This window comes from Homo sapiens, chromosome 2 (genome assembly GCF_000001405.40).
Source record: "Homo sapiens chromosome 2, GRCh38.p14 Primary Assembly".
Classification (NCBI taxonomy): domain Eukaryota; kingdom Metazoa; phylum Chordata; class Mammalia; order Primates; family Hominidae; genus Homo; species Homo sapiens.
In genome coordinates this window covers 2,222,076-2,249,867 of record NC_000002.12, presented here as the reverse complement: position 1 = coordinate 2,249,867, position 27,792 = coordinate 2,222,076, and the positions used below count along the sequence as shown (strand labels likewise).

At 42.3% G+C, this 27,792-nt stretch overlaps 1 protein-coding gene across 31 annotated transcripts in view, besides 1 other annotated feature; it reads left to right on the top strand.

Moving 5' to 3' along the window:
- MYT1L (myelin transcription factor 1 like) overlaps positions 1-27,792 on the top strand; it is a 542,163-nt gene that overhangs the window by 81,408 nt on the left and 432,963 nt on the right. The gene's annotated exons all lie outside the window — the stretch shown is intronic.
- Positions 621-1,156: an enhancer, noted in NCBI's record as "NANOG hESC enhancer chr2:2252484-2253019 (GRCh37/hg19 assembly coordinates)". NCBI's record gives its function as "activates a minimal SCP1, AML or CMV promoter by ChIP-STARR-seq in primed H9 embryonic stem cells {active_cell/tissue: H9 hESC(primed)}" and the evidence as "EXISTENCE:reporter gene assay evidence [ECO:0000049][PMID:30033119]".

The following is a 27,792-nucleotide window of genomic DNA, read 5'->3' as shown; positions in this document are numbered from 1 at the left end:
AATCTTTTGCCCATTTTTTAATCAAATTATTAGTTTTTTTTATAAAGTTGTTTGAGCTTTATATATGTTCTGGTTATTGATCTCTTGTCAGATGGGTAGTTTGCAAATATTTTCTCCCTTTCTGTAGGTTGTCTCTTCACTTTGTTGATTGTTTCCTTTGCTGTGAAGAAGCTTTTTTACTTGATGTGATTCCATTTGTCCATTTTTGCTTTGGTTGCTTGTGTTTGTGGGGTATTACTCAAGAAATCTGCCCAGATCAATGTCCTGGAGAGTTTATCCAATGTTTTCCTATAGTGCTTTCATAGTTTGAGGTCTTACATTTAAGCCTTTAATTCATTTTTATTTGATTTTTTTTTCTATTTTGGTGAAGAATGTCATTGATATTTTAATAGAGATTGCATTGAATCTGTAGATTGCTTTGGGTAGCATCAACATTATAACAATATTGATTCTTCCAGTTCATGAACATTGAATGTCTTTTTATTTTTTTGTATCCTCTTCAATTTATTTCATTGCTATTTCATGGTCTTCATTATAGAGATATTTCACTTCTTTGGTTTGGTTTATTCCTAGGTATTTGTTTTTATTTGTGGCTACAGTGAGTGGGATTACTTTTCTTTTTTTTCTTTTTTGGATTGTTTAGCATTGACATATAAAAATGCAACTTATTTGTGTATGTTAATTTTGTATCCTGCAAAATTTATTTTTTAAATTTATTAGTTCTAATCATTTTTTGGTGTAATCTTTAGTTTTTTTCCAAATATAAGATCATATCATCTGCAAACAAGAATTACTTTACTTCTTCCTTTCCAATTTGAATGCCCTTTATTTCTTCCCTTTGTCTGGTTGCTCTGGCTGGGACTTTCAGTACTATCTTGAATAACAACAGTGACAGTGGGCATCTTTGTCATGTTCAGATCTAAGAGAAAAGTCTTTGGCTTTTCACTCAGTATGATACTAGCTGTGAGTCTGTCATACATGGCTTTTCTTATGTTGAATATGTTATTTCTATACCCAGTTTTTTGAGGGATTTTATCATAAAGCGATGTTGAACTTTATCACATGCTTTTTCAGCATCAATTGAAATGATTATATGGTTTTTGTCCTTCATTCTATGGATATTGTGTATGACACTGATTGATTTGTAAATGTTGAACCATCCTTGCAATCCTGGGATAAATTTCGCTGGGTCATAATGAATGATCTTCTAAATGTATTGTTGAATTCAGTGTGCTAATATTTTTTGAGGATTTTTGCATCAATATTTATCAGACATATTGGCCTGTATTTTTCTTTATTTGATGTGTCTTTGGTGGTGTTGTCAGGGTAATACTGGCCTCATAGAAGGAGTTTGGAAGTATTCCCTTTTCCTCTATTTTTTCAAACAGTTAGAGTAGGATTGGTTTTGGTTCTTCTTTAAATGCTTGGTAGAATTCAGCAGTGAAGCCATTGGGTCCTGGGCTTTTCTTTACTAGACTTTTTACTACGGCTTTTATCTCATTACTTGTTATGGGTCTGTTTAGGTTTTTTATTTCTTCATGGTTCAATCTTGGTAGGTTGCATGTGTCTAGGAATTTATCAACTTCTTCTAGATTTTCCAATTTATTGGTATATAGTTGCTCATAGTAGCCATTAATGATGCTTTGAATATATGTGATATAAGTTGTAATAACTCCTTTTTCATTCCTTTTTTTTTAAATTTATTTGAGTCTTCTCTCTTTTTTGCTTAATCTGGCTAAAGGTTGTCAGTTTTGTTTACCTTTTTAAAAAAACAGTTTCATTGATCTTTTGTATTGTTTTATTCATTTCAAATTCATGTATTTCTGCTTTTATCTTTATTATTTATTTTCTTCTACTAAGTTTTGGGTTGGTTTGCTGTTGCTTTTTTAGTTATTTAAGATGCATTATTGGTTATTTATTTGAAGTTTTTCTTCTTTTTCGATGTAAGCACTTACAGCTATAAATTTCCCTCTTAGTACTGCTTTCACTGTATTCCATAGGTTTCGGTATGTTGTGTTTCCATTATCATTTGTTTCAAGAAAGTTTCCAATTTTCTTCTGAATTTCTTTACTGACTCATTGGACATTCAGGAACATGCTGTTTAATTTCTATGTATTTGTAAAATTCATGGAAATTCTAAAATTATTCATGTTAATAATTTCTAGTTTTATTCCATTGTGATCAGAGAAGATGCTTGATATTATTTCAATTTTTTGAATGTTTTAAGACTCGTTTTTTGACCTAACATATGATCTGTCCTTGAGAATGATCCATGTGCTGAAGAAAATAATGTGTATTCTGTAGCCATTCAATGTTCTTTAAATATCTATTAGGTCCATTTTGTTCTATAATACAGATTAAATCAAATGTTGCTTTGTTAATTTTCGGCCTGGGAGATCTGTCCAATGCTGAAAGTGGGGTGTTGAAGTCTCCAGCTATTGTTGCACTGAGGTCTATCTGTCTCTTTCGCTCTAATAATATTTGCTTTATATATCTGGATACTCCAGTGTTGGGAGCATATATATATGCAATTCTTATATCATCTTGCTGAATTGACCCCTTTATCATTACATAATGATCTTTTTTGTCTCTTACAGTTTTTGTCTTGAAATATATTTTGTCTTACATAAGTATAGCTACTCCTGCTTTTTTCATTTCCATTGAATGAAATATCATTTTTTATCCCTTTATTTTCACTCCCTATGTATCTTTATAGGTAAAGTTTCTTGTAGGGAACAGATCGTTGGGTCTTGTTTTTCCATCCATTCAGCCACTCTCTATCTTTTGATTGGAGAGTTTAATCCATTTCCATTCATTGCTATTATTAATAAGTAGGAACTTACTCCTGACAGACTGATTTTTTCCAAAGGTCATACCACCCAATTACATTCTCATTATGAAGTCTACGGAATTGTCCAAGTCACAACAGTGCTCACCAGTGAGTTCGACACTCAGCCTCCATGCTCTGTGGGCTACATGTTAGGCTTCTCACCCCATGTTCTTAAAAAGCATTGAACATGTTCATAAACTTGAGGTGTAATTTAATTGGCAAAAGCTAAGATACTTAGGCTCCCAATAAGTGATCAATAAAATTAATTAGCACTCATCTTCAGATGTAAATCAAGGTTTACAATTTTTTGAAGTCCCTGTAGCCTTATCTTACACAGAATCACATGCCTTCTTCTGGATGATTTTCACTTAGGCATTGTGAATTACCTTGTATATAAAAATAACAGCACAATCACTCATACACAGTAGGCACTCAATAAGCCTCTGTTGCTTCGATTTAGTTAACACCAGAGCTGTCTGAAGGCAGGACAAGAAAAGGCCCCCTCACAGGTACAGGGACCCCTGTCTCATGCTGATGAGCTTTCTTTCTTCCCTTTTGGGGTTTATAAAAGGTCTATTCAGTACCCGTCTCATGGTGTTCCATTGCGGCACACACAGCTCATTTCAGCCACACTGTCTCCCCATCCTAGCCCCAGGTACCTATTAAAAAGGTAGCAGGAAAAAGTCTGAAGCATAAATATGCAAGATGAGGAACTTCTTCAGGTGAAAAGCATTGAAGACTCAGAAATAACCTGACTCTTTTGTGGCAGGCGAAGCTCTCCACTCCTGGGGGCTGCTAGTGTATTTCACAGAACCTACTAAATGATTGTCATTGTCACCTCTCTGCTAGCTCTCTTTCAGTAGTACTCCAGTTGCAGGAAAACATACCAGGTGCCTCAGGTGGAGGAGGCTGAACTAGGGCAGTCAGCGAGCCTGTATTAGTTTCCTATTGGCAGTTGCAACAAATTCCCACAAACACAGTGGTTGAAAGAATGCAAATTTGTTATCTTACAGTTCTCTAGGCAGAAGTTTAAAATGGGTCTCACTGTGCTAAAATCAAAGCTGGCAGGGCTGCATTTCCTTGGGAGGCTCCAGGGGAGAATCCCTGTCCTTGCCTTACAGCTTCTAGAGGCCACCCGTGTGCTTCAGCTCCTAGCCCCAGCCTCCATGTTCACAGCCAGCAGCCTAGCATCTCCAAATCCCTCTCTGACTTGAAAAATGAGAAAAGATTGGAAGAATGGATCAGAATTATGGAGGAGGATGATTAACAGCCTTCAGCAGGCTCCACTGCCTATGTGAAAGCATGCGCTGGGCTGACTGAGAGTGGATGGTGCTGAGCCCTGTAGAGTCCTGGAGAAGGAGGTAGACCGTCCTCAGCTCTAGCCTACTCCAAGACATGAGCTTGGGAACTCCTTGAGCCTCCATTCCTGGGGGCTGCTAGTGTATTTCACGGAAACTGCTAAGTGATTGTCACTGTCACCTCTCTGCTATCTTGCTTTCTTCTTTTGTCATTACACTTTGAATGAGTTGTAGAAGTAGCATTAAAATATAATACCAGCTGCTGAATTCCTGGTTTAAATGTTGCCAAGCCTCAAAGCTTGATTAACTTATCTAGTCTTTTCTTCTCCTGAAGAAAGAAACACAAGGCTCAAGGAGTTCCCAAGCTCATGTCTTGGAGTAGGCTAGAGCTCGGGATGGTCTACCTCCTTCTCCAGGACTCTACAGGGCTCAGCACCATCCGCTCTCAGTCGGCCCAGCACATGCTTTGATGTAGGTGTTGGAGCCTGCCGAAGGTCGTTAATCATCCTCCACCATAATTCCGACCCATACTTCCAATCTTTTCTCTGTTTTTCAAGATTATTTTTTCATCCCCTGTGCCTATTTTAACAAATCACTCTTGGTGCAATAGTTAGCCTTGTTTACATAATCTGTACACTGGGGAGCTGTTCTCAAACTGTAATACGAGTATGCTGTGTTGTTAATCTGAGCATGCAAGTGGGGTGCTAGACACCAATTGTCCATTCCTGTTGAGTATGCTTCATATCATTTAGAATGTACAACAGGATACAATGTTGCACATAGCTTCTAAAGGGAAAATAGCTTTTCTCCATATCTTTATTCTAATAAGGACCTCAAAATAATATGGTAGCCATCTCAGCTCTCCCAGGTGATGTGGCTGGCTAGAGAGCTAGAAGAATCTCTAGCCGTCAGTTTGCAGGGAGAACCTGGACTGCTGGCTGGAGCAGGCAGGCTGCAGGGCAGCCCATTCAGTCACCCTATGGAGGTATCGTGTCTTGCCAAGGGCCACATCTTATCAAGTCAGTCTGTGTTTCTGCCACCATTTCCCCTCTTCTCCACACCTGCCCTCTGAGCTGGCTCTGTTCCTGGAGCCTGCAGTTTGAGCAGGCCTCTCATTTCCGATAGTTCAGCTTATGCTGAGCTGGTGCAAGCTTCTCTTCTCCCAGGGGCTTCAAGCCTCATCACCGATATCTGAAACTTGGGATGTTCAATCTTCAAGACTCAACTTCCTCATTTAGAATATGGGGATATTATGTGCCCTGTCCACTGTGCAGAATGTTGTGAGACTAAACTAAGATAATTGGTCAGAAGTATTTTACATACCATAAAGCACTGTGGGAGGCACACTTTTATCATTTTTTATTTATGAGATTATTATTTTTCCCTTCTCATAAGTCCATCAACCAAGAATCTTGCAAAAGTTTACTGTTTAATTTTGCAAATGGACACAAACAAAAACCCACATTGAGTGGTCTTTGGGAAAACTACCCTTTTCCAACAAAGAATAGGGAGCAACAAAGACCTGGGAGCAACAAAGACCGGTCAGCATTTTCCCAGATTGTGACTTTTCATAAAAGCAGGTGTGTGTAGTTTGATATGTAAAAATCTTTTGATAAGTTTGAGTATTTTCCTATGGGAGTGAACATGCATGATCGAAATAGAAACATATTTGGAATGATGGTCTCCAGGATTGTGTGAGTATTTTATTATGGAATCTGTATTTAATTGCCTTTTGGATGTGTCTGGAATTTAGTCATTCAAAAACTTTCCTGTCAGTGTGCGCTGCCAATCCTGCATGTGGTCTTTCTGCTGGAATGGCTGCTAACAAGGTTGCCAATTAGGGTGAACATTTTTCAGTGATGTGAGCCTCTTTCCACTGGAAGCTAACTTCGAGCCTCCTTGTTGCTTCATATACTGAAATGTGTCATCTAACAATCAGATGCCAAAAGTGACTCCACTACTTTGCTCGCAGCTCCCACCAGAATCCAAAAACAAAAGACAAAAATATGAGACAGACACTCATTTGGATTCCTGCGTGTGCTACCATATGAGTCTTATGTGTTTCTATAAATAAAAGCAGTGTGGATTGAGTGCAACATGTGGCTTCCCAGCTACTTTTCTGCAGGGCCCCTGGTGTTTATTAAGGCCTGCCACATGCAAGGTCAAAAGTCTACTCTATTCTACATTATACACAACTAGGTACCATGGAAGTTTGTGATTTGGCATGATACTTCTTCACAACTAGCTTAAAAAATTATGAAGTCAATTAGTTTGTGCCCCTGTTTTGTTGGGGAACCTTAAATCCCACTGTCCCAATTAAGGGAGATGCCAAGTAAAGGTATAGTCCGATGTAAATAAACCTTGAGAGATAAGTTTGTATAGAAGGTTATTTATTTTACATAAATCATTTTGTTCTCTTTGCAAAAGAATTCACCAAGAATATCTTTGAATGGTAAACTTTCTTAGGGCTTTTAAAATAGGACATGCCTGTCCAAACCTTGATTTTAACTTGTTGTTGAGGAAACTGTAATAAAGTGTATTTTTACTTAAGACAATTTCAATTCCTCAACTTCAACACTTCTGATTTCTCCTTTGGTTTTCCAACTTCAGGGCAGCCTCTCCCTTGGTACTTCTCTCCACCTGGGGCCCTTCCTTCATTCTCCCCTGCTCCCATTGACATTGCCCCTTGGTCAACAGATAGCCATCCATCCTCCTATTCCATGGGCACCTTCCTGAACCCTGCACCCTTCCTAGAGAGCTGGTCTCTCTTGTTTCTGTCCTCTTCATTGCTAAAACCTATTCCACAGGCACCTTCCTGAACCCTGCATCCTTCCTAGAGAGCTGGTCTGTCTTGTTTCCATCTTGTTTGTTGCTAAAACTTGGGCACATCTTGTGCAGAGGAATGTACTTCATTTCCTCAGGATTTTCTGCCATAAATTCTCCTTAGCCATATTCGACTTCATATTGTGATTTAGGTGTATGCCCACTCACTAGACCAAAAACTATCTGTGGCCCTGATAATGCTCCTTGAAATGGGCTTTCCTCCTGGGTGACAGCTATCACATCTTATGAGGCATACACAGTCTCATGGGATTGGGGACCCTGCCTGCTTCTTTCTGAAATGCCCACAGTATTCCAAGTGACCAGTGCTTGATAAATGGAAGCTTATGGATGAATGGAAGACTAATTTATTTTTGCAATGTTTGTTGATAGAGCGTCTCTTATGTGCCAGGCACTGTCTTCATGAGACCAAATTCTGAGTAAAAGATGAAGGAGAAAAGACTCAGGGCAGGACATTTTCTTCTAGCTAAAGCAGCAAGTTCTTTTCGTAATATGTGGTGAAAATTTATAGTTTATACTAAGCCCCTGGAATGCGCTTTACGTGTTGTTAACCATCACTCTGTTAATAATATTGGATCAAGTCACATGTTTGTTTTCCTCATTTTTCCATTTGGGAGATATTTACTGGGCCTGCGCTCCTTTGCAGAGATTGGCAGAGGGAAAAAGATGGATCTGGTCTCTGTACTCATGGACTCATTTTTAGGAATGTTTTACCTTTTAAGCTTCCTAATAATGAACTCTGATCTTCCAGTTACTTAAGTGAAGAAAGCTCGTACTTCTGACATTTTTTCCTTTTCCTTTTCCTCTCTGTTTTTCCTCCTTCCTGCCTGCCTTCCTCCTCCTTCTCCTTTTCTCTTCCTTTTCCTCTTTTTTCCTTCAATCAACCTATCAATGTATATTGAGCACTTCACTAAATGCAAGGTGGGATATAGTACTATATATATGTGTGTGTGTGTGTCTAGACACACCCATCTCTGGGTCCCAGCATTCTGCTTTCTGTCTCTGTGAATATGACCACTAGTCTTACCTCATGTGAGTGGCATTGTACGGTATCTGTTCTTTTGTGACTGCTCTCTTTCACTTAGCGTAATGCCCTCAACATCCAGCCATGTCGTAGAATGGGTCAGAACATCCTTCCTTTCTAAGGCTGAATAATAGTCCACTGTACATCTGTCAGTGGACACGTGTGCTGCCTCCACCTTTCAGCTACTGTGAATTATGCTCCTATACATATATCTTGCTTGCAGCTCCCACCAAAATCCAAAAACAAAAAACAAACAAAAATATAAGAAAGAAACGCATTTGGATTCCTGTATCTGCTACCTTATGAGTCTTATGTGTTCCTATAAATAAAAGCAACGTGGCTGGAGTGCAACATGTGGCCTCCCAGCTGAGTTTTCTGCAGGGCCGCAATGAGTTCCTGGCCTCATAAAGCAGTGTGTGGACAGGCAGCTCAGAGCAGTGCCGGAGAACTGAGGAGAGAGGAGCGTTTGCCATGCTGGGGTCATAGAAACGAGAAAGGCAAATTCACTTCATGGGGCTTCCCCATTGTGTTCCTGTTCTTCCCTCTTTTCTGATTATTTCTGTTTTGTGGTGGATGTATCACACACACACACACACACAAAAGATGTATTTTACAAGAAACCAATATACATTTAAAACTCCCTTTTAAGAGCACACATTTTTAGTGCATTGGATATGGCAGGAAGCGTGCGGTTATAGCACCTATGAGCTTGTTACTTTATTAACACGTTCACTAACACACAAAATTCAGAAATTCAAAAAAAAATTCTTGGTACCATTACAGCATCCAATATCAAGAATAAATAAAAGGGGCTAACATATTGCAGCATGATACTTTTTTGTCTTTATTTTTCCCTCTGTCTCTCTCCAATACGTGAAGTGGCAGCTACCATTCACTCATAAGCTAAACCCCAAATCGCAGGGACACATCTGTGAAAGGGAAATCAGGGCATTATTCTGATTGTGGTTCTGAACAACATGACTTTTGACCTACATATATCTAAGTTGTTAAAATTGGAACCCTTTTTCCAACTCCATGACAGTGGTAGGAATAGAAATATGCTCCTTAGCCTCTAACTAAGGCCGCTGGCACGCGGGGCTGGCGGGGAGAGTGACACCGTGTTTTACCTCAGGGCTGCCTCTGTGTGAAGAAAGCTATGATATATTTGGAAAATGTGGACACCGCTATGTCAGCGACACTAATTGTCACGTTCAAATAATATAATTCCAGTCCATATGGAAGTAAGAGCTGCATTATCGTTTTCTCGTTTGCTTTAGGGAGACTTAGACAAAGGATTAGAACGTATATTTTAATTTGTGTTACTATAAAAATAGATGTAATTATGTACTATTTCAAAGTAGCAATAAACAAAGAGTAGATAATGATCCAAATTCCCTCCATCTAAAAATGACCACTATTGCCATGTTGTTATCCATTGATCCCATATTTTCTTGATCATTTACATTTCTTTTTTTTTAAAAATGAGTCTGTGTTACCATACTTTTTAAAGTAAAGGATAAAATATTTTACTTGGGAAATATGTCACATAGTAAATTTACCATTTATTTATTTATTTATTTAGAGACGGAGTTTCGCTCTTTTTGCCCAGGCTGGAGCACAATGCTATGATCTCAGCTCCCTGCAACCTCCGCCTCCTGGTTCAAGTGATTCTCCTCTGCCTCTCAAGTAGCTGGGATTAGAGGTCTGTGCCACGTGCCTGGCTGATTTTTTATGTTTTTAGTAGAGATGGGGTTTCACCATGTTGGCCAGGCTGGTCTCAAACTCCTGACCTCAGGTGATCTGCCCACCTCGGCCTCCAAAAGTGCTGGGATTACAGGCATGAGTCGCTGTGCCTGGCCTACCTTTTATTTGATAAAAGAGTAAGAGACAAGGAGAAATAGAGACAAAGGAGGAAAAAGAATGGATGAAAGAATGGCACAAAAGGAACACAAACTCAGAGAAAAAAGAGATGAGTGCAAGGGGACCCGGGGGCAGAGAGAAGACTCAAGAGCTCCCCACAGCAGCTCTCTGCTCTGTCTGGGAGACTTCACCTCTCAGTTCCATTCATGAAATATCAAATTAGCAGATTACCCACCTGCCTTTTCTGTTGATGTTGCCTGTTGTTTATTTTTATTGGTTTGCTATAGTTTGGAGAGCCAAACCAGCCCACTGGGGAGAAAGAGGAAAATATTTTTGGAATCTATCAGCAGTGATGAGAGCAGGTTTTGGAAATGGATATAATCAAGCCAGTCTTAGGTTGACGGCATGGCATCACAGAGCCTATCCCCCATGTAAACCCCGAAGGACGTTGCCCATCCCGACTTCAGAGTTTGAAGCTATTCCTTTCAAACAAACTCATAGCTCACCTATAAGTAACCAGTAACTGCTTATATGTCTCTAATACTTTAACTTTCCTTGAATTTGTTTCACTAATTTTCCTGCATGTGAAATTGAAAGTGTGTTACCTGCCACCCATGTGCACTGTGACAATAGTGAAGAATGTGAAGGAAGCATTATCAGTCTGTAAAAACGTTCATGAGGCAACTTATCATGGACTAATTTTAGGTCTCATTGAGAGTCACTTTTTCCTTCCTTTGCCCCCGTCTGTCTGTGCATGTGCACATATGCATACATTTGACATGTTTCCAGTGGGCATTCTATGTTATGTTATGGTGGCTGCAAAAGCCACAGTGAGGAGCTGGGGGTGGCTCTAAACTGGAAATGGTAGTGTCCATTCATGTGCTAGTTTCGAATTGCCATTGCTTTTGTATATGCATTATCAAGTAAGAGACTAAGTGAGAATTATCGTTATCTTCATTTTTAGAGATCAGGAGCCAGGCTCAGTGTGGCCAGTAGGCTGGGTCAGGGTCCCCCAGGAGCTGGCATGTGGAGAGCTGACACTTAACCAGTTCTCACTCTTTGTGCAGGCTCTTGGCAATGCCCCACCCACCCTGGCACCTGCTACTATTCCACATCACAAGAGACCAAGATAAACAGATCAGCTACCCAGAGACTGGGACGTGTACAGCTATGGGGGCTGCTAAGGAAAAGGGCAGCTTTTAGTCAAAGAGGGCTTACTTCCTGCTTATCGTGGAACATGTAGAGATGTATTTACTACACTTACAATCGTTGCATTGCACAAAGCGTTTTTATCACAAGTTGATCTCTAAGAGTGCTTTAGTAGCAGAGCTCCTACACGGAGATTGTAACGCAGGATCTCTCAGATATACACTGCACACAGGTTTCACCTCTCAGCTGTGATTCTGCTGGTGGGTGCCGATCCCTTAGCGTTCCCTGTTCCCCAAACAATGAAGAACAACTCTCCTCGGGTGTCACCCAGCACAATGGATCTCAAACAAGTGACGAACGACAATCTCCATACACTTTGTCAAAGGAGGAAGTGTTTCTCCAACTGCATATTTACTGAAGCCTTATTTGCACTACAGATACATCTGAAACTGCACCCAGTGACCCCACCCTTCCTTTGTGGCCACAGAAATGAACCACTCTCTGGGAATCCAGTGGGAACATTATTGATCTAGTCCCAAATCTTCATTTTCTAGATTAAAGAGTTGAGGCCCGGACAGCAGGGTACCTTGCGCAGAGACACACAGCTCATGGGTTTCCCAGTAAGGACTGACTTCCTAACAGCAGATAATGACCTTGATTTACCTTCCTTACAATAAGTTAATACAGCAATTCAGATGCCCCACCACCCCCTGACCCCATGTTCTCTGGTTCTGAGAAAAATCTAAGCATTCAATATCCTGAAAAATATTCAACTAAGAAACCTTAAAACACTTTATCTTCTTTGAACGTGTCATGATCTTGTCTTTCCATTATGGAGGAATCATAACGCGCCTTTCTGTCAGAAGGATCTTCAATGTGGAAAGTGAAAGCCTGTGGTGTTTGCACGTGTGCCCCGCTCTTTAAACAACCTGACTTTACCTTATGCAAGTACCAAGGTGTGGCGAGGGGAGTTGCAGGTGACCGCTGTCCCAGGTTGCCTCTGTCTGTGGCTTTCACAGGAGACCCCAGCTGCCCAATGAGGCAGAACCCAGGTGCAGATGCCATCTCTGTCAGTCACAGACATGCAGCCCACGTGACCCTGAGCAATGACTTAAGCTGCCTGGCCCCCTCTTTGGAGGCAGGACATTCCCAATCCAGGGGCTTAGGGACTTAAGTGGTTTATGTAAAGGGGCCTGGCACCCACTGAGTGCTCCAGGCGAGGCATCCCTGGCATTCTGAAGGGAGGCTTCCTCTCACTGAGGTTCTGTGGGATTTTGGATAAAGAGGCCATGAGAGGAAAGTCTATTCAATTATGCATTTTAAGCAACTTAAAACACTTACAAAAACTGCTTTTTGTTAGGAAAGAGAATGATGTCTGGCACTTCAGGATACAAAATCACATCCCTCATACTGCCATTCTCTATCCAAACCACCAGCACAGTGATGCGAGGAGACATTAGTGCTCCCTGTGAAGGAACGGGCCTTTTCTCCTGCCCTGGTTTCAACTTGGCTTGTGCAAGGTAAAGATGTTTCACATTCATGCTCCTCACAGGTTGCTGTGGTTGTGTGAAAAGTGCTGGTTATCAGTTAGTTGTGGGTAGTTGAAATCTTCAGACGGAATGAGGTGGGAAGGGAAGGGAGCTAGGAAGGGAGGAGGAGGAACAAAGAGGGATCCAGAAAGGAAAGAGTGAGATGGGAAAGTATGAGCATGTCCTTCAAAAACATCTTCCTGATTTAAAGAAAGGACAACCAGGTTGGGCGTGGTGGCTCACACTTATAATCCCAGCACTTTGGGAGGCTGAGATGAATGGATCACCTGAGGTCGGGAGTTCGAGACCAACCTGACCAACATGGAGAAACCCCATCTCTACTAATAGTACATAAATTAGCTGGGTGTGGTGGCACATGCCTGTAATCCCAGCTACTTGGGAGACTGCGGCACGAGAATTACTTGAACCTGGAAGGCAGAGGTTACAGTGAGCCGAGATCACGCCATTGCATTCCAGCCTGGGCAACAAGAGCGAAACTCCATCAAAAAAAAAAAAAAAAAAGAAGAAGAAGAAGAAGAAGAAGAAGAAGAAGAAGAAGAAGAAGAAGAAGAAGAAGAAAGGACAACCAATGAGTCTTCACCAGTTTTTGAGGCAGGCTGAAGGAATATTGGAATGTGCCGTGTGATGTACTGGGTTGGGTTGGGATGTGCTGGGTTGGGTTGGGATGTGCTGGGTTGGGTTGGGATGTGCTGGGCTGGGTTGGGATGTGCTGGGTTGGGTTGGGATGTGCTGGGCTGGGTTGTGACATACTGGGTTGGGTTGGGATGTGCTGGGCTGGGTTGGGATGTGCTGGGTTGGGTTGGGATGTGCTGGGTTGGGTTCGGATGTGCTGGGTTGGGTTGGGATGTACTGGGTTGGGTTGGGATGTACTGGTCTGGGTTGGGTTGTACTGGGCTGGGTTGGGATGTACTGGGTTAGGTTGGGATGTACTGGGGTGGGTTGGGATGTACTGGGGTGGGTTGGGATGTACTGGGTTGGGTTGGCATGTACTGGGTTGGGTTGGGATGTACTGGGCTGGGTTGGGATATGCTGGGCTGGGTTGGGATGTACTGGGTTGGGTTGGGATGTACTGGGTTGGGTTGGGATGTGCTGGGCTGGGTTGGGATGTGCTGGGTTGGGTTGGGATGTGCTGGGTTGGGTTGGGATGTGCTGGGTTAGGATGGGATGTACTGGGTTGGGTTGGGATGTACTGGGTTGGGTTGGGATGTACTGGGTTGGGTTGTGACATACTGGGTTGGGTTGGGATGTAATGGGTTGGGTTGTGATGTACTGGGTTGTTTCGTAATCTGTTCATTCTTGGGCTCCTTTGGGAATATGAAGGGTAATGATACGCTATTATCTATGTGTCTCAAAAATTCAGATGCAATGCAAATGAAACTATTGGATTTTCAATAAAAATATATTAGCTGCTCCTCAGCCTACTAGTAGTAAAAGCCATTCACAACCACATTTTCTTGATGCTAGAGAAATATTTTAATTAGAAATGAAGAGTACATGAGGGAGGGGCGTACCTTATAAAAATATAGAAGTAAAACACTATGAATTCACAATTTCACCATGGAAATCAGCCAGTCAGCCGGAGTTAGTACATGACCAAGGCAGTGATGTATTTCAGTGTACAGTGTGTGGAACTGAGGAGGGGCTGCGTGTTCACTCTTGCCAAATGGAATATGGCAGAAGGGTGAGAAATCAAACTCATGCAATGTGAGGGCCAGAGGAACCAAGAAATACAACCTCTGTGGGAAACACAGGTCCAGAGTTAGTGCCAATAAACACAGGGCTGGAGGTAAGAGACCCAGGAGCAAGGGAGACACCAGCCAGCTAACAGGGACCCCACTAAGGGATGCTGTGAGGGTGACACTAACCAGCTAACACATACCCCTCTAAGGGGAAGCTGTGAGGAAGATGCCAACCAGCTAACCAGCTACACACACCCCTCTACACACACCCCTCTAAGGGGAAGCTCTGAGGAACACGCTAACCAGCTAACCAGCTACACACACACCTCTACACACACCCCTCTAAGGGGAAGCTCTGAGGAAGACGCTAACCAGCTAACCAGCTACACACAGCCCTCTATACACACGCCTCTAAGGGGAAGCTCTGAGGAAGACACCAACCAGCTAACCAGCTAACACACACCCCTCTAAGGGAGGATGTGAGGGAGATGCTAACCAGCTAACAGACACCCCTCTAAGAAGAACCTGTGGTTGCCACAACAAATCTAGCTTGGAAGAGAAGAGAAATTGGTGGGTTATGACAAATGCATTGGCAGGCAGACAAGAGACAATGGAAGAGGCAGAAAGAAAGGGAAAGTGAAAAAGGGGAGGTCCAGGGTGAGGAGCCAGCAGAGAGGGAAAGGACCGCAGGCCAAGGGGAGCTGGAGGCTGGGTTTGGAAAGATGACCAGAGGCGTGAGCATCGGGGGAGTGCAGTGAGGCCTGAGCACTCATCTATTTCAACATATGAACACAGTGCAATCAGAGCCTGTTTAAATAATAGCCTATGTTATTTTGCTTGAGTTCTCCAAGCTCCCAACTTACCAAGCTCAGTGAGTAGAACTTCATATTCTCATGCTGAGATTTGAACCAGAGAATTACTCAGTAATTCAAGTCAGGATATTCTATAACCCTTTTAATGCACTGCCTCTTAAAGATTGCCATGGGGAAGGACTACAGTTTTAGGTGAAGTAGGCCCTCTGGGAGGCACTGTTGACTTTGTAGGCAAGGCAAAGCAGCGTTGCCAACTTGAGCTGCAGGGGTTCCACGCCACACTGCTTTGTCTTTGTCTGTAACCTTCTTGGCTCAAGCATTAATAAACAGCAAAGGTATATATTATGTATCCAAAGATAATCTCTCAAACTTTGCAAGATCTATCCTTGATTTAAATGCATTGTTTGAAGCACTTTTGTACAATCGCAGAAACTTCTGAATTCCGCACCCTACAAATGTGTGCGTCTGTCTTCACTGTCTTTATTCTGCAGACTATAATCAGGGCCTTTCTTTTTTATGATCTTCAGAGCAGGAAAGCCAAGACAAGTGTGAAATTATAAGCTCATCTAACACTATTCTTTTAAATTGAAATGATTTAGAAAAGGGCAACATGTATGAATTTTATTCTGATTCCCTATTTCATGCTTAATTCCAATTTTTAAGGAGTAGAATAATGAGTGTACATTAAAGAGACAAATAGACTGTGCGTTTCACAAATGTCACTTCTTGACCTGATAAATGTGAGTTGCCATTTAAAATGCACTGAATAGACTTTCATAGTAGATTGATTTCACATTTTATTATACAAAACAAGCATGGACTTATCTAAGAGCTACAAGCCTGGTTATAAGATCAGTGCCAGGTATACCCGCAATCCTGCCATGGCCTTATGAAGAAAAACACAAAAACAAACTCCCCATAAGAAAATAGACCCTTGAGCAGTGGCTGTTTCTCCTGTATTTCAGACTGTGGCTGGACATAGTTAAAGGCCACGAGCTTGGCAGGCCAGTACAGGGTGAGAATCTGGACTCCCTTGCAGCCCACAGGGGCTGCCTTGGTTCAACATGATAGCTACTAAAATGGATTGCTGACCCTCCCAGGCAGCAGCCCACCTTGGGTTCATTTCCTGTCTGACAATGGTGCCGATATGGCTGGTTCCGCTCTCTTGTTACAACCACACTCACAGGTGACTCTGAGTCATGATTCCCAGTTCTCATTGTATCATGTGCACTGGATGGCCACTTCCTCTTCTTCCTTCTGTGCCAGGGACACACGAGTGTCCTGAGACACCAGAGGCCGCCCCATCCCACCCCAGGGTCTGTGAGATGTGTAGACCCCTCAGGAGCCAGAGCAGGCGGCCTCCAAGACACAGGCGAGGTCCGCAGGGGCACTGGGTACATCAGCTCTTTAGCATCACAGCGCAACCCTAGGGCTCCCGCAGCCCGTTGGTCTCCAGGACTGAGATGAGACGTGGCAGGCCACACCCCCGCATCTCAGCCCTGACATCCCGGCGCCCCGTGCTCTGCTTCCTTTTTGGATCCTGTCGTCCTGGCACCCCTTGCTCTGTTTTCTCTTTGGACCCTCCTGGCCCTGTCACTCGCTGATCATCTGACCTTGGAAAGCTCAGGTCTGTAAAATAGCTTCTCCAAGATTTCCAAGATGTGAAATGTGCGACTTAAAAAATGTGTATATTATTCATTCATTCACTCAGAAAATATACGTTGAGCACCTGCTACCTTCAGGGAATGCCTATGTGATGTTGAGGAGTGCTTAATGCAGGCTGGGCCCTGAGTCAGGGGCTTCCTGAACGTTTTTACATCCAATCGGCCCAGTGATTTTTCAAGCTAAATTCTATGGCTGTCCTCTGTTCACAGAGACCTCTGAAGGTCCAGAGTGATAAGAAATACAACTTAGGTGGAAATATCAACCCAGAGGCAGTACAATCAGAGAGAAGGGAGCCATGAGGACGCAGGGCCTGAGGGCAGGTCACAGCGCAGTCAGCAGCCAAAGAACTGAAGTCCACCTCTTCTTGCCTGCCCTGTCTGTAGTCACTTCATCATTGCTCCACACTGCCTTCCTGTTTCAAATGTATATCATCATCCTTAAACTTAAATAAGTGTCCAACCATCCCTAAAGCCTATCGTAGCTCCCAGGAAGAGTCCTTTGTCCGAGGAGTCGTGTGAAGAAATGAATGAGTTTTCCTTCCTCATATGGATGGGACGGTGCCACTCTGGGCACAGGAATAACATCCAACATTCACATATTGTCCATAGTTCAAAAACTCATAGAAGCCTTGAGAAGTAATTGTCATACCCATGCTACAGAGGCACCTACTTGGGCCGAGAGAAATTAATGAAGTGGGTAGAAGAGCAGACTTCAAGTCCAGTGCCTTTTCCACCATGGAATGCTGACTTACAAAGTAAAGCCCATAGCTGGCAGCTGCCCCAGGAGAACCTGCCTATGCAGGAAGTTGGCACACTTGAGTTCTTGTTGTGTTTGTCACAGTAACTGCAGGTGACCCAAGCCTCCCGGCTGGAGGGCAGAGCTGCTTGTTGCAATCAAACCCCACCTCTCCTTTTCTGCCTTTTCTTCCTGTGGATGCTGACTGTCCCCTCTTCACCAAACCTACCTGTTATGCACTCAGCCATCTGCACCACTGAATGCATCCTTTCTTCACTCTTTCATGAAGGAATTCAGTAATCAGCAAGTTACATCTTCTTGCCTATTTCTCATTGTGTTCTCTGTCGCAGGGATATTTGCAAAAGAAGCCTTTGCATAATTGTGGAATGAAACTTTCCTTTATTGTTAAGTGGTTTTGCAGTATCAATTTTTAGGTATTTTGAGTTCAGACAGAACTTGTGCATCTCTCTGAGAAGAACCACAATAATCCGTTGCTTGTTCTGATGACTTTTAAGATCAAACCAAACCAGAATCTAAAGAACAAAACAAATGAGCAAAGACTAAATATAAGACTAGAGGAGTTATCTGGGAGGAGTTATCGTGGAAATCCAATTGTTAGAGTCCTTAAGTTGTCATTGTTCCATGCTTTTTTTATATATATAAAAAATTGGTTTTTGGCTAGGCAAGGTGTCCCACGCCTGTAAATGCCTATACTTTGGGAGGCTGAGGCGGGTGGATTGCTCGAGCTCAGGAGTTCAAGACCAGCCTGAGCAACATGGCAAGACACCATCTTTACAAAAAATACAAAAATTATCTGGGCATGGTGTTGCATGCCTGTAGTGCCAGCTACTCGGGAGGCTGAGGTGGGAGGATTGCTTGAGCCTGGGAGGTGGAAGTTGCAGGAAGTTACAGTGAGCTGTGTTTGTGCCACTGCACTCTAGCCTGGGCAACAAAGCCAGACCCTATCTCAAAAAAATAAAAAATTAAAAAAATAAACAAAACCATTTTTGCCTAACGAGCCTTGAAAATCTTAGGCAGTAACGCAGTCAACCTACAAATGTTTGTTAATTAGTAATAGACAGACTGCAATCAACCTACAAATCTTTGTTAATTAGCAAATGACAGACAGACAGACGGAAAATGAATGGGTGAATATGGGTAGGGCAGAATAACTAGTATCTCCCTTCTGTCATCCTACAGTGGGGCTTACTTCTCTCATGCTTTAATATTCAGCTGTTAATATTTTTCCCAATCCAGCTCAATAGTCTGGGAACCAGTGAAATAAAAAGCAGGAAATGAAAGCTGTGTTTGCAGTTGAAAAGGACTGGAAAGGGTAATAACTTGGATAATGTTGATTCCTATTTTGAAGTATTTGCGAAGCACCTTTGCTATGCCCTGAGTCTGGGGGTGGGGGCTGGGTAAGTTCCCTGATGGTCGTGTGGTCTGTCTGCCTGGGCCAGTGGTGTGGCCTGAACAGCCGTCTCACAGTAGTGCTCCATGGAACCTGACTCCTGTCCAGGCTCAGGGCACCTCATTTTCCACCATAGAAATGTAAAGACAGAAAGATCTTGGAGGTATTTGAACAGGTGCTTTTTTCTCCACCTAAGCTTATAAAAATATGCAAATAGCTGAGGATCAAAGGTAAGACTGGGAAAATGGCTTGGAGTGGAATCTTTCAGCGTGGTGTGCAGCCCGCTTGAGACAGAGCCCCCGGCAACATCAGTGCTGTCAGCTTTGGTGCCGGTGGAGCCCGCTGACAGCCCAGATGCTGCTGCTAGAAGTGGATTTTCCACAGCGTGGCGTCTGGGTAGGGAGCGGGCTGACACTGTCACATGTCACCTTGCAGGCATGCAGCTTGCCAGTGGCGATGGCAGAGCTCAGGGAGTTGGCCAGGGCTACCATCCTAACTCAGCAAGACCCATAATAGTCACCGAACAAGAATTCTGTGTTCTAAGTACATTGGCGATTCATAATCCTGAATTGAGCTGGTCAATAAACTCACAGGGAACAGGCGTCACATATTACTTAGCATACATCCTAATGAATTACTTTCAGAAATTCGAGCTTGAAGTTGCATCCCAGCAAAAGGAAACTGTACCTTGGAAGTGCTAAGGAAACAGACGCTGCAGCTGAGGGATGAGTTCACCGAGCACTTTGTAGGTTGTTTTCTCCCACAGGCTGAACCCAGCAGCTGCCTGCCTTTTCCTTATCCTTTCTATAAATATGTTGTTCTATTATAAAACAAATTCAACTGGCTGATGTTTTCCTGTTGAGAGATCACTGTTCACCGTATAAAAGGGTTGTCAAATGCATCTTAAGGCTCCCTCTACTGACAAGTCACTGGAGAATCTGAAATGTAATTTACATGAAGGAAAAGAGGAATTGTTTTGAAGTCAAATCTATGTTAGGCGAGTAAACAGTTAAAAATAAAGGTAAAGGAGATTTCAAGTAAAATTCTCTGCTTAATAATGCAAGGAATTTAAAACAAATGGTTTTTCACCGGAAGGATTTATAAATAATAAAATTGTAAATGTGGTTTTCTGTTTCGGTGGAGAGGACAAAGACTTGGGAGGCAGATGCACACTGGTTCAGATGGCAGCTCCAGCCCTCACTAGCTGTGCAGTTTTACACACACCATGGGAGCAGCTATGTTGTGTGCCTGCTTGCGTTGGCATAAGGTTTAGAGATAATATATGCATATACATACATATACATAGAATTCTGAACACAGTGCCTTGCCTATAGTGGGTGCACGCTGGAGCCCAGGAGTTCAAGACCAGCCTGGCCAACACAGTGAGGCCCCATCTGTGCAAAAAACTGAAAAAAAAAGAAATCTCCACCTGTGTTCCCAGCTACTCAGGAGGCTGAGGTGGGAGGATCACTTGAACCCAGGAGGTTGAGGCTTCAGTGAGCCATGATCACACCACTGCACTTCAGCCTGCGCAGCAGAGTGAGACTGTATCCACACACAAAAAAAAAAGAAAGAAAGAAATCCTATGAGACTATCTTTATAAGTGTTCAAGAATATGTGGCTAGGGATGCTCATTGTGCTAGCCAGCTTTGTAATAATAAAATCATGGAAACCACCAAAATTTCAAATGTAGGAGAAAGAATGAGTAAATATTTATTTTTATATATAGGGATCCTGTGCTTTTTTAAAAAAAGAATGAAGCAGATCTAGAAAAGTTAATAAAGATATCATTTTTGTATATGAAGAACTCATTTCAAATGTATGGAATAATGTGATTCTATTTGTATAGAGAAGATAGTTATGTTAAATATGTAATTAGATATGTAAAATGCCTAATATAAACATAAACACATCTCTGTATATTTATGTATGTATGTGTATACACAGAGTGATACATTTGTAAAGGCATAGAAAATACCTGGCTGAGTTCTCAACCGGCTGTTTGCTGCTGAGAAATCGGAGCCAGGAGCTCAGCTGGATACGTTGGAAGACCCCCGTGTTTCACTTCATATCCTTCTCTACTGCTTGTGTTTCTTCTTATTAACTTGCCCTTGTCCTGTATTTTTTAAAAAGATTGTTAATATGTGCTAATATTGAGCACAAATTTATTGTATTGGCTGGGCAAATAATCAATACTTCCCTGTTACCTTGAAAAGAAGCAACCTAAATAACATAGTTTTTCATAAGTTTTCAGGTGTTTGGGGGAACATGAAATAGTGTATTTATAGCTCTTCTCTGTAATATTAAGGTTGAAACCTTTTTATACCTGCTAAGTTATATAAATGGTTCTATTTTAATGTTTTATAGACAAAGTGGGTTTCTAGACTGCAATTTATATTATTAGCTTAAAATTTTTGCTTTTAATCTTTCAACTCAAGAATTTATATAAATACTTTTTCTATAAAATCAAAAAGATTGGCAAAAAAATTCTAAACTTTCTTCCAGTTCTAAAGTTCAATTTGTCTTGCTGATTTCAGCAAAAATCTTAACTATTTAATTAGATAACAGTATTAAAAAATGTTTGCTTTTGGATAAGACATTCATTCACTACAGTATTCAAAATCTAACACAATGGTAAGTAACCATGTGGCTAGCTAAATTATTATTATAATCCTGTTGCACAGGTTTTTAATATTATCACCTTTGCCAATTTGAAAGTCATATGATGGACTTTTGCATCTTTGTGCTCTTAAGGTAATTATGAAGCTAAATGACTTTATCAGATATTCAAACCTGATACAAAATGTATATTACAGAATCACCCCCTTGCCCTGTCTTTTATGTAGGTAATGATTATACTGATGATAGTGATGATGATTATATTATCTGTAATCCTTGCATAGAGATATACATGGTCTGAACATCAACAAACTTATATTCAACCCTAGGCATTTACTAGCCGTTATGAGCTACTTGACATTGGGCAATTTAGTTAATGTCTGTGAGTATCTATTTTCTCAACTGCAAGATGGAGTTAATAGTATCTGCCTTTCAGAATATCTGAAGAATTGAACAAGCTAATATGTAAATCACAGAGCACAACTTCTGACAAATGCTAGAAGGTCATGTTAATTCCTTTTGAATTATTTTTCTGGATAATATAAATCAGGGCAAAATATTGGTTAAACTACGGCTGTTTTTGATAATTCAGTGAAAAAGGCCTTTCTAAAAAGTACATGATGCAGGGGTTTTAACTTCATGGGTATCATCATGAACATTAATTCGCCTAGCTCTAAAACAATGGTAGTGAACATATTTGAACCACTATCCCCAAAAAGAAAGAGTTTTTTGCTAATTCAGATAACAAGAAAAGGACAGAAGACCAGGAGCTTCTTAACAGATAGTGCGGTCAGCTTTCCATGTGAGTCTGTGCCCAGGACAGGAGCAGTGCAGGGCTGGGTGTGACGAGCTGGGAAGAGATGAGGTCCTTATGGGTTCCACCTGGAAGCCTCATCCTGGGCTCCATCCTGTGGTCCCTCGATGCACTCCTCACAGTCAAACACCTTTCTGGTTTGGCAGCTGGTCTAAGGGTTTTGAGCTTATGGGAAACACACAGAATTCCACTGTGGACGGGGAAGCTTGAGATGCCAATTAGATATCTCAGTCGAGATGTCAAGTGGGTCATTGAATCTATGAGGCTGAGGTTCAGAGGTGAGTCTCAGTCTAGAAATACGCTTTGGGAGTCATCCATGTAGAGATGATATTTAATCCCATGGGACCAGATGATATCAACAAAGAATGAACAGACAGAAAAGTCAAGGTCTAAGGTCTGAGGCCTGCAACACTCTGTGGTCAGAGCCAAAGGGAAAAGGGGAAAAGCAGGCCGGGACAGCGCATCCCCAGGGTGGAAGGGATCCAGGAGAGTGGTGTCCTGGAAATCAGAAGCACACATTTCAAGGAGAAATGAAGGATCTGCTGAGTTGAGTTCTGCTCACAGGAAAAGTAAGAATTCCCTATTGTTCAAAAGTCATCATTCTAAAGCAAAGCATAGTCTAAATAAGAGAATAAGGGTATTGCTGGCATACTTGTTAATATGGAAGGGAGACACATTAGAAAGAGCTTATCTACTTAGTGCTATCTGGACAGAAGCCCAGGGTTGAAGAAGGACCATGAAGTCCACCCTGGCCTAGAAATGCTGTTGGGAAAGTCATTCCAGAAAATGAGACCCAATTACAGGCAGATGGTGGGAGAGGAGGCACCGCAGCTGAGGAACACTGAGTGTTGCTCTGGGCTGGGTCTCAGGGCAGGTCCGAGAACGCAGCAGCAGATGAGCCTGGATGAGTTGATAGAGGTCATGTGGTCGGAGGTTTGGAAGCCCAACCTTGGAGGCTGCACTTTGCCCTGCCACTGAGTTGGAGAGGTCACAGGCAGAATGGTCTGGGTGTGTGCTGGCTTTGGGAGAACAGACAGATGGCAGGTGAAACATGCCAAAGAGAGAAGGAGAAAAGCAGCCTGGGACAGCACATCCCCAGGGTGGACGGGATCCAGGAGAGCGGTGTCCACGGCCATGACTCTGGATGTTCTGAAACTCATAAGACAAACACTTCAATGAAGGTGGATTTTATGGTGTGAGAATTATATTCCATCCATCTAATTTTATATTAACCTGTTTTATTATAGAACAAATATGCTTCATTCCTCCTCAATTATGATGTTGGAAGGCACAGGCTGATACGATGTTGAAAAGCCCCCGCTATGTTCCTAGTTTTCACAAGTGATCAGCAAACACCCTGGCAGGCCGCACAACTAGGACTCAATGTTGCTGTGAAGAGTTTTGGGGTGCAGCAAGCCTGAACAGTGGGTTCTGGCCTTTGCTTTCTGGCTCTTCCTGCATTGCCGCCTCTAGATACTGGCTCATGGATGCATCTATAAGAAAGAAAAGGTGCCAGAAAGGCAAAGTTGTTCATCCCCACCCCTCTGGTGGTGCCATGACTTAACATGGTGCTTAGGAGTTAGCGTCTGGAGCCAAGGCAGCCTGCATCCATGTCCCCATTCCACCCTCACTCTCTGACCTGGGGCAAGCTTCTTATACTCGTGGCAGTTTTCTCATCTGTAAAGTGCAGCTAGGAAAGTTCCTACTTCATAGCAGAATGGGGCAACACGGAAGGGACCTTTGTTTGATTGTCACTCAGCCCTCCTCAGATTGCTATTGTGGGGTATTTTCCCCTTAAGTTTCTCCATGATATTTTTTTTTACATTTGTATACCTAGCTACCCACTCTAATTAAGCAGTTGTACCAGATTCTACTTCACCTGCCCCCACCCCCGCCCCGGCTCATGGAGGAGCAGGAGGAGGCAAGCAGGGGTGGGGAGTTGCCTGCTGGAGAGGCTGGTGTGGGACAGCCCAGGAGAGACCACGGTGTAGTAAATCTGTGCTGGAATTATGGAACATGAACTGAGGAAAGTAAAGGTCGAGTCAATGAGACCAGCCTCACGGTTTTTAGACCACTCCCAACCAGCAATGTCCATGTCCCAGACTGGGGTCACCTGGGTGGAATTTAGCCCGAGACGAGACTGGAGAGTGGACGGGGAGGTGGTTTGCAACTGGGGTGTACGTAGGTAGGTGCTGCCTTGGGAGCTTTCAAAAGCTGAAGATGTCCCATCCCCATTCCTGCCAATGACCTGGGCACTGAAGGGGACAGCGGGAGGCCAACTACAACCCCCTGCCCTGGTTGGTAACCCCTGAATTTGCAGTGTTGCAGAGACTGGAAGAGGCCTGGGGTTGGTTAGTTGAGGGGAGTGAGGAGAGGATTAAGGCAGGAACAGAGTGCTGTGTGTTGGGGCTGTGGCCACTCACAGCTGGGGCAGATCTGATTTGAGGCAAGGAGACTGAGAAAAAAAAAAAACCTTTAAACAGTGTCCAAAGGGTGCCATCTCTAAAGGTGGATGTCTTAGACAGGACTGGTCACACAATGTGTGGGACCCAGTACAAAATAAAAACCCACGGCCTGTTTTTCAAGCATATTAAAGTTTCCAAGACGGTGACAGAACCTCAAACCCAGCGTGGAGCCCAGCAAACAAGCATGAGGCTCAAACCCAGCGTATGACTGCCCAGCACACAAGCATAAGGCTAGCCCTGGTTAAGACCTTTCTCAAGGATTTGAAACATTTATTTTCCTTTTTTTTTTTTTCTTTTGAGACGGAGTCTTGCTCTGTTGCCCAGGCTGGAGTGCAGTGGCTCAATCTCAGCTCCCTGCAAGCTCCGCCTCCCGGGTTCATGTCATTCTCCTGTCTCAGCTTCCCAAGTAGCTGGGACTACAGGTGCCCGCCACCACACCTGGCTAATTTTTTGTATTTTTAGTAGAGAAAGGGTTTCACCTTGTTAGCCAGGATGGTCTCAATCTCTTGACCTCGTGATCCGCCCGTCTTGACCTCCCAAAGTGTTGAGATTACAGGCTTCAGCCACCGTGCCCAGCCTGAAACATTTATTTTCTTAATGGGAAAAATAGTTATGGCATGGGGTGCGATGAGGCTGAACCTAATCTAATTCCTTTTCTTCTCACTGGCAAACGTTTGCAATTAGAAAGAGCAGCATGGCTGTCACCTCGCCAGCTCTCCGGTCTTTTTGGGGATGTTAGTTTTGAGGGACACTGAGCCCATGGACCTTCTTCCTTTGCTGTCTGCTGGAAGGTCTCGCCACGCCTCCTTTCTGGGTGCCATCTGTTGCTGTCACACCCTGCTATTTTAAATGAGGGAGTGCACAATGGGCTCTCAGATGGGCAAGGAGGGGCCAACTCGTCACAGAATTCTTCCCTATAAGAAAGGCAGAAGATCCTGTTCACATACAAATTGACCAAAGGCTCACTGGAAGTGGGGTTATGCCCTCAGACAGGCTTGTCCTCCTTAGATAACTCCCCACCAATTCATTATTTTGTCTTTCAGATGCTTAGATGAGCCTTGCATTTAGATGGACACCTTAAAGTTACCTCACACAACATACACACTCCACCTGTCAACTCAGTCAAAGCAACACAAAGGGCCCACCGACCTCAGCAGCAGTTTGAATTTGCGTTTCCTTCATCTCCCTTCGCTGACCCACCTGGAGGAGGCTTGGTGGTGGAGTGCCTCCAGCTGAGGTCCATTTTCACAGGAAAGCCTCCTGTGTTTGCATAGCTTTTGCTTAAAACTTCTTAGTTACTTTTAGAAGAAAAAGTTTAAAACATTCCAAAATGAAAATGGAAACATAAAATATGCTGGGTAGATATTTTTCCTGTCTGAATGCTAATGATGAAATAGACTTGGGCATTCAACTTCTAGTTATCTTTTTGAATCCAATCTTGTAAAGACAAAAATTGGCCTATAAAGTCTTGTAAAAAAATATGAGGGCAAATGGTCAAATATATGGAGAAAATTATTCAAAAATTAAATTTCCCTGCAATGTGACAAATCAGCTATTTTCGGAAGTGCCTAATACCACGTCAGTACAGAACCAATCAAGAATTACATTTTAGCTTTAAAACAACAAAATGTTGGACAGTTTTTATAAAAAAGAAAGATTAAGAAGTCTATAAATCTGACTTCATTTTTGACCAGTTCAATTCTAGAATAAATCAATGCACTTCAGTTACTTTTTCAAATACTCTTTAATAGAGAAGCTTCATCTATGATGAGCCTAGCAAAGATACTCTCTCTTTAGTGTGAAAAAATATTAAGGGACAAACTAGTTGGTCTTGTTCAATTTTTTTATATTCTAATATTTTCATACATTTTTATATTTGTCTTGTCTTGATTCAGAAAGGAGTTAACCAGGTCTGATTTGATTTTCAGACATGACTCACATTTCGAGGCAGGATGTCTGTGGTCAACAGTCTAGCTCAGTTGTCATTCAAGGCTCGAATCTCAGCTCTGCAGTTCACTTGCTGTTAGAAGCTGAGTAGGAGGCAGTGCCTAGGAAGTTCATTGCTTAGTATGTGGGGCTTAGAAGGACATTCAAACAGTGCTTGTTATTATATGTATTTGTGGCATCATTCAGAAGATAGTAAGAATGTCGATTCTTGGAGTTAATGAAAATTATTCTAAGTTTTGGGTTTCATTATGGTAGCTACTGATGCATATTTTATAATAATTTTCAATATCATTTTAAGGAGGTAGTTGTAAGAGTTTATTTTTTATTTGATGTTTTACTTTTTCTTGCCACTTCATCACATTAATACTTTGTTATGACAAACTTGTATTTTTATTTTAAAATACAAGTAGATATCCTACAGTTTAGGATTCCTTCTCCTCAAGAAGGCAAGAGAATATTTTAAAGTTTTGAGTCTGTGTGTAGTCTAGTCTGGAGTCCATCTTACATCTTAGCCCTCTTTAGGATTGTGATAATATGGCCAAAAAAGGAACCAGGCAACATCATAATTTTTATTTACAAACATATATTTAAAAACACTTAACTCCTATATATGTTCAAAATCATTCACAATTTAATTAAAATATAAAATACCAAAAAAAAATTTTTTTTTTTTGAGACAAAGTCTCACTCTGTCACCCATGCTGGAGTGCAGTGGCACAATCTTGTCTCACTGCAACCTCTGCCTCCCTCCCAGGTTCAAGTGATTCTCCTGCCTCAGCCTCCCAAGTAGCTGGGATCACGGGTGCCCTCCACCACACCTGGCTAATTGTATTTTTAGTAGAGACAGGGTTTCTCCATGTTGGCCAGGCTGGTCTCCAACTCCTGACCTCAGGTGATCCACCCACCTCAGCCTTCCAGAGTGTGGGATTACAGACAGGCCTGAGCCACATGCCCAGCCCCAAAATATTTCTAAAAGGATATTGAACTCCTTTTCACTGAGTTTCAATCCTTTAAAATATATATTATATTTTTCAGAGCTCTAACATCCAATAGTCCTTGAAGTACAAAAGAAAAAATAGTTCTACCTATGAAA